Source organism: Homo sapiens, chromosome 11, assembly GCF_000001405.40.
Source record: "Homo sapiens chromosome 11, GRCh38.p14 Primary Assembly".
NCBI lineage: Eukaryota > Metazoa > Chordata > Mammalia > Primates > Hominidae > Homo > Homo sapiens.
In genome coordinates, this window is record NC_000011.10 from 37968824 (window position 1) to 37976561 (window position 7738).

Here is a 7738-nt window from a genome sequence, read left to right on the forward strand (position 1 = left end):
TAAGCTAAAAAAATCACATAAGTGAAAATTATTAAGTAGGGAGTAACAATGTAGGATGCAGAGAAAGTATTCTGATTTCTTCACTTTTACTATGTTTATATCAAAGGAGATTATAGAAATATGACATTAAATAATTGAGATATATTCATGCCCAAATGCAAAAGTGTGAAAACAGCTTGACATGGAAATTATTTTATATTAGGTAGAGGTGTGTGAGGAATAAGAAGTACATTAATTAATTATTGTAATATTAGGAGATAGATACTGCTGAAAGACATGGAATATTAGATTTAATTTATAAACTTATTTAAACAAAGAATATTAGGAATTCAAATGCAAATCTTCATATATATCAAGAGTAATATACACTAAACAATGAAATCAGTCTTTCACTAGCGTCCGTGTGAAGAGACCACCAAACAGGCTTTGTGTGAGCAACAAGGCTGTTTATTTCACTTGGGTGCAGGCGGGCTGAGTCCAAAAAGAGAGTCAGCAAAAGGAGATAGGGGTAGGGCCATTTTATAAGATTTGGGTAGGTAAAGGAAAATTACAGTCAAAGGGGGGTTGTTCTCTGGCAGGCAGGAGTAGGGGTCACAAGGTGCTCAGTAGGGGAGCTTTTGAGCCAGGATGATCCAGGAGAAGGAATTTCACAGATAATGTCATCAGTTAAGCCAGGAACAGGCCATTTTCACTTCTTTTGTGGTAGAATGTCATCAGTTAAGGCAAGAACGAGCCGTCTGGATGTGTACGTGCGGGTCACAGGGGATATGATGACTTAGCTTAGGCTCAGAGGCCTGACACAGTCTATAAAGTGAAAGTTTTTAAAAACTGTGAGCCTGTAATGTTTGACTCTTGCACAAAACACACTAACAAAACCACTTTTAGAAATGAAAAAAGAAACATCTTTTTTATGAGCTTTTCTCCATACACTCAGAGGAATAAAGTAAATTTAAAATAAATATTTCTTTTTAAAAAAATGGAAGTTTTGCTATATTGCCCAGGTTAGACTCAAATTCTTGGGTTCAAGGGATTCCCACACCTCAGCCTCTCAATTAGCTGCGACTGCAGGTGTACGCCACGACACCTGGCTAAAATAAAAATCTTGTAGTTTGAGAAATATTTGGCTTACACGCATATTGCATAACCACTATAGTCTTCTGCTGGCTACAGTCTCTGTCTAGAATTACCCATGATCCTGCTTGTTCAACCCACCTTTAATGCCAGGCATTAGTGGTTCTTTTTAAATTGCTTCCACCTTTTGTCACTGTATAATTCCATTCTATATAGTTTCTGAAATGTTTGCCCACTATGTAAAGATGGCAAATCTAGATTAGTTCAGGCCATATGTTTATTTGATCAGGTATAGCCCCAGTTCCAGGATGCTACAATGTGCCAGTTTCTCTTCATTTTCTTCCTGTTTATTTGCAACTTTCGATTTCACTTTATTTATACAACCATTTCCATGTAAAAACTAGTTTGTACCGAACTCACAAATCTAGTATTTTAGACCAGTTTTCTTCCCCAAGGACAATTAATATGCAGCCATTAAATAACTCCATAATGACATTTTCAAACACAAACAAGTTGTTTACACCTATATCCCCAGGACAATGGGGCTCGCTTAATCTACATTTCACAGTCAAGTGATTTTTTTTTTTTTTAAAGAACAAAAACAGATTGCTTCAAAGTTTTAATTAGTACCTATCCATCTTATGAAAAAGTGAATATTTTCTTTACAGAAATATTTTGATATAAAAGTTAAAATGCCTTATAATAATTGATTAAAATGCCTTATAATAATTGCATGTATATTTGTTGAGAATTCGTTTGCAACATGGTCTGGTGACTCAGATGTAGGAAGTATGGTTTAGAAAGACCAGCAGGGTGTAGATCTAGAAGACAGTTGGTAGTGATCAGTCAGGTACTAAGGAAAAATTGAAGATCCATCCAAGGAATTGAAAAGGAAAAGAAAGGCTAGGCACGGTGGCTCAGCCTATAATCCCAACACTTTGGGAGGCCGAGACAAGTGGATCATCTGAGGTAGAGACCAAGCTGGCCAACATGGCAAAACCCTGTCTCTACTAAAAATACAAAAATTAGCCTGGCGTAATGGTACATGCCTGCAGTCCCAGCTACCCGGGAGGCTGAGGCAGGAGAATCACTTGAACCCGGGAGGTGAAGGTTGCAATTAGCTGAGATCGCACCACTGCACTCCAGCCTGGGCAACAGAGAGTGACTCTGTCTCAAGAAATAAAAATAAAAAGGTGAAAAGAAAAAATCCAGAAACATTCTGGATTCTTGGGTTAAATCCTAGGACTCTAGAGTCAGTGTGCGGACTTAAAGAAGTCTATGAACTTTCTGAGGAGATCAGCCACATTATGAGTGTAAAATAAATATAGTGGGCATGTAAACGTCAGGTATTAAGAGCATAGAAGACATCAAGCAATGAGGTATAGGTCAACTGAGTCCATGTAGCCTATGGAAAATAAATAAAACTTTTCATAAAGATCTGGTTTAGGAAATAAATTGAAAATCTTTAATTGAAAGAGTTTTGAGAATGGATAGAATCTTAATGTCAATAAGTATCTTAAATATTTTTTAGTATAAACTCTTACCAAACTCAGTAATTTTTTGAATTACAGGCAGATATATAAGAATAATTTTGAATCTGCTACCCTGTAGAGCTGGAAGTAAATATTGGCACTGTTACTTGTTAGCTGTGAAGGCTTGTTTAACCTATTTCCTTACCTACTGAAGATGAAGATGATAGCTTCTTGTTTTGCTGGGAGGCTTATAAGAAAAGAAAATGTAATATACTCTACCTCTGTACTTGACCACAATAATGTTACAACCATTGTTATTTCCATATTGGACATATTTTCAGATTTCTGCTGAAGGGGTGGCCTGGGTAACCATATTGGTAATATGTAATTCCTTCTCTCCCTGCAGCATAAATGAGTGTACTATACTGATTTGGCATCTAACTAATGGATAACCCAGTCTTTCTCTTTCACCTTCCCCTCTTCCACCTTCATCTCCATATTTTAACGAAGAGACACAATTGCCTTTGTTCTGACAAGTGAAATACACCCAAAGCAACACACAAAGCGAAGTCAAAGGTAAGCCAAAATTCTGAGTGAAAGCAATTTACTCTGAATCTGGCGTTTTGAGAAAAGAAGGAGTGGACAAAAAAAAATCTAACAAAAAGCATAAGAAAACGAAGAACCAACAAAAATGGTCTCTGGCATACAGGGACAGAGCATTACTATACTCTAACAGGTTCACTCTAACAGGTGCAATGTCTGATGGCTGAGATTTTCCTAGTTCACCCTCTCACTTTCTGTCATTGACTTCCATCAATTCCATATTTTTATGAAACTCAAGTTTATTCCTTTTCTTGAGCTAGCTTGGCTGGCTCCTGTTTTATGCATTTAAAAAATGTGTCATGTAATCAATTCCTTTCCCCATTTCCTTTCCTAAAACATATTCAGAAGTTTTAGGACCCATGACCCCCCTACCCCACCCAACCACCACCAACCATTAGCTTAAATCTTTATGGTCAATACTCTTTGAGGGATGAATTTAACTCAGGGGTTCTATTATCAAGTTCTGACTTATGTCAAACTGATTTTCTAATTCACTTCAAATCCTGGAATCTCAGCTGCTCTGGCATTAAGCTAGAGATATGTGTGTACACATACGTGTGAGGGAGAGAAAAGTACAGATATACTCAAAGCAATCTGATTAGCATTGAAAAAATATGTTCCAAACTGATGAAATAAAAAACCCGAATAAATACCATTGATATTGCCAAATAAATCTAATTTTTAATGATGCTTGCTGTTTTACTGATCTCAGTCCTCCTCATTAGCACATCTAAAAATATCTTGAAAACTATATGATTACCGTCTTGATGGTAGAACTTTAATAAAAACATCTTGAACTTTGTAAGATTTAAAGGTAAATATGAAAATAAAAACAAGAGCACTAGTCAGAAATGAGATTATTAGTCATGAATTTGCAATCCAAATATTTTTCCCATTTATGCAATACCCAGAAGATAGCACATTTCCTGTCGATTGACTCTGGCCTTAAGTTTTGCTAAACATTAACAACTTAAGGAAAGGAAGAAAGCTAAAATAGCTCCCTTTTAAGGCAAGATAAGAAGACCTTGCCTGACTTCATGGATTAAGTAGAATTTTCAACTTTTCAAGCCTCAGTTTGTAAAAAAGAATGATGTTTCTTTCTTTCCTTCTTCTGTTTCTTTCTTTTGCTCCATCTTCTCTTCTTTCCAGGCATTTATTCAACAATGTAATAAGACTTTACATTAAAAATTTAATTGTCTTCCCTTTTCTACTTGGTACTAATAGCCATAAACAGCCCTAAGCTAAAAATATTCTTAGAGACCTGATTCTATTAGTGATGCTTTGGCTGTGATTTCCTTGACCAATAACACAAGTCAATCTTAAGAGTTCAAAGGTCTTAGTCTTATAAACCTCCTTAAAAGCCATTTATTACTTTTCACCAGAGCATGCACTTAAAAATGAATCAGACAAGGCAATCTTTTCAAGCTTAAAATAAATTTATTCAGAACAAGAATATATGATCCAAAGGTCAAAGCCAATCTGCCCAAGTTTGATTTTCACCTCCAGGAGTTCATAAACCTAGAGCTGTTTACGCTTATGTTTCTGAGGAAATATTTTGATCATGGTTGTAGTATAGACATATTTTCTTTTTAAAGAAAAGTATAGCAGTCTGGCAACAACCTTCATTTTTTTCCACTTCATGAAATTTTTTTATTTATAATTTTTTCTTTAAACTTATTTTTTATTAAAACCATGTTCCTCAAGCTACAAGTTGTGACCTAATATTCTGTCATTAAATCAATGTATTAAATGGAATACGCATCTAATAAATTAAGAAGCAATAGATATATAATAATATGAACAATAAAATAGAGCAGTTATATTAAACTGTTCATTAAGTATTTGTTAGGACAGTTTGCTTTCTGTGTGTGTGTGTGTGTGTGTGTGTGTGTGTGTGTGTGTGTGTGTTTTGGGTTACAATATAAAACATATTCTTTATCATACTTTTGTCCCAGTTTGTTTAATAAATTACCCAGACTTAGTGGCTTAAACCAACAGTAATCATTTATTATGTCTTACAATTTATGTGGTCAGAAATCCAGAAGGAACATAACTTATTTCTGCTCTAGATGCCTGTGGCATCAGCTGAAAGACATACAGGCTGAAGGCTGCTGTCACTTTCATTCTCATCCACTCTCATGTCTGGTTCTTGATGTGTGCATGTCTTGATGATCTCATTTGGGCTGTTTGCCGGAACACCTACAAGTGTCCTCTCCATATGACTGCAGTTTCCTCACAAGCTGGTGGCTGGGTTCCAAGGGCAATCATTGTAATAGAGTGAGAGACAGAGGCAGCATTGCTTGTGTTGACCTAGCCTTGGCAGTCACAAAGTCACCCGATGTCATTTCCATCATATTAGTTAAGGCAGTTACAAAGGTCCACTCAGATTTAAGGAGAATAAACATGGACTCCTCCTCTCTATTGAAGAATGTCAGTGTCATCCAGTAAAAGGTACTTTGGATCAGAATATATATTTTGTATGGCTATCTTTGTAAAATTTGCTGCCACAGTTTCCTACTCAAAAAAGCTGAAAACTACTTGGTCCTTGGTCATAGTCTTTGGGATATTAGCATTGAATATTTTATAAGACATGAAGAGACTTGTATTAAAGGAACCCCTGCCAAAATTCATGACCATTAAAATAGAAGAGATAGAAAAAATGTTTACATTTGGAGAGAAGAAAAAGTGTAATGAGTATTATATACTCTTAATTCCTGGGGAATGTATATCAGTCAGAATAGACCTGGCGTCTTTGTTCTCTTCTTCCTTTTAGTAGTAGTTTACTTCATATAACTAGGTAATCAAAAAGTTCCAAGTTTTAAATTTATTTTATGAAATTTATATTAATTGACTACTTCAAGAATTATTTTAGGCACTGGAATGGTTATTGAGCCAAATAAAGATAGAGAGCTCAAACAGCATATAGCCTAATCAAGAGAAATACATAATAAATATGCCATTTCATTCCCAAGCTGAAATAGAGGTAAGTACAGAGTATTATGATGATTCCTAGAAAAAGGTGACTGACTCTGGCTGATGGATTTGGAAAGGTTTGACAGAAGAGCTGCTTTTTAAATTGCACTGTGATATGTTTCTAATCATAAGCAATTTTTTACTATGGTTATAGGTTATGTTACCTTAGATCCTTAGAAAATAGTTCTCACAAATGTCAGAGTTGAAATATTCCTACCAAGTTAAACATAAAAATGGGCCAAATCCTGTAATCCCAGCTATTCAGGAAGCTGAGGCAGGAGAATCGCTTGAACCCGGGCGGTGGAGGTTGCAGTGAGACGAGATTGTGCCACTGCACTCCAGCCTGGGTGACAGAGCGAGACTCCGTCTCAAAAATAAAAATAAAAAATAAAAAGTGGGGCTGAATCTCTTATTGGTTAAGGATCAGATTCAAATATTGCCTATACTATGTACTACTTGGGTAACCTTGGGTAAATTGAACCTCCACATATTTCTGGTTTTCACCTGAAACATAAGAAAAACAGCAATACCTACATCATAATACTGTTAAGAAGATCAAAAGAATAGTATTTGTGAAGCGATTATTATAGTGCCTGAAATGTGTTGAACAATTAAGAAACATCTGCCAAAATTGCCAGCATTGTTTTCACTACTAATATTGTAGCCATAGACAGGAGGACATTTTGTGCAGATCATGCGAACTAAAAATGTTTAGCAAAAGTTAAGCTAAGGAGGTAGCTCATCAGATATCATCATCATTAAAATACAAATGGAATAAGAGCAATAAACAAAGTCAATGACTTTCTATTGCTGTGCTTCATTCTTATTATGGCACTAAGCACAATAAAAATTATGTTGTCCATTTTATTACTTGTTTGCTCAAGATGTTTTTGTTTCTCTATCAGCAATGTTTCCACCAAAAAAAAAAAGCAGAACCAGTAGGATTTAAGGGTATATATATACACACACACACACACACACACACACACACACACACCTAATTGACTAAGAGGATTATGGTCTGGTAGGCAAGTTCAAAATCCTGCTGATAGGCAAGCCTTGAGGAAAGGCAGGCTGGAACTTGAAATTGTCTAGCAAGACTAAAAGTGTCATCCTCAGGCAGAGTTCTCAATCAGGGAAGCATCACCTCTGCTCTTAAAGGTCTTCAAACTGATTTAATCACACACACAGATTTTATCAAGCATAATCTCCCTTACTTAAAGTTAACTTACAAAAAGTTGTGTAATAATGAGACCTTAATCATATCTCCAAAATATATTCACATCAACTCATAGATTATGTTTGATTGAATAACTGAAAACTCTAGCCTAGCCAAGTTGATCCACCAAAAGACCATCACAGTTTCTAATTGCTTATTTTCTCTGTCCTGTATATAACTCAATCCCTACCACCTGTAATGTTCCCTGGAACACAGCAGAAACTCAAAAATATTTGTTTAACAAATAAAGAAATGTGAGTATCATGCTGTGTGGCATCTAATAAGCCTTGCAAATGATTTTGAAACATAGCCTAAAAGCAAATGCAAACAAAAAAATACTTTTAGATTAGATAGGAATTTCATAAAGCATTTTTTTTTGGAAAAATAAAGAATACTATAG

At 35.4% G+C, this 7738-nt stretch overlaps 1 annotated feature.

Annotated features, from left to right (window-relative positions):
• Positions 418-970: an enhancer, noted in NCBI's record as "NANOG hESC enhancer chr11:37990791-37991343 (GRCh37/hg19 assembly coordinates)". NCBI's record gives its function as "activates a minimal SCP1, AML or CMV promoter by ChIP-STARR-seq in naive H9 embryonic stem cells {active_cell/tissue: H9 hESC(naive)}" and the evidence as "EXISTENCE:reporter gene assay evidence [ECO:0000049][PMID:30033119]".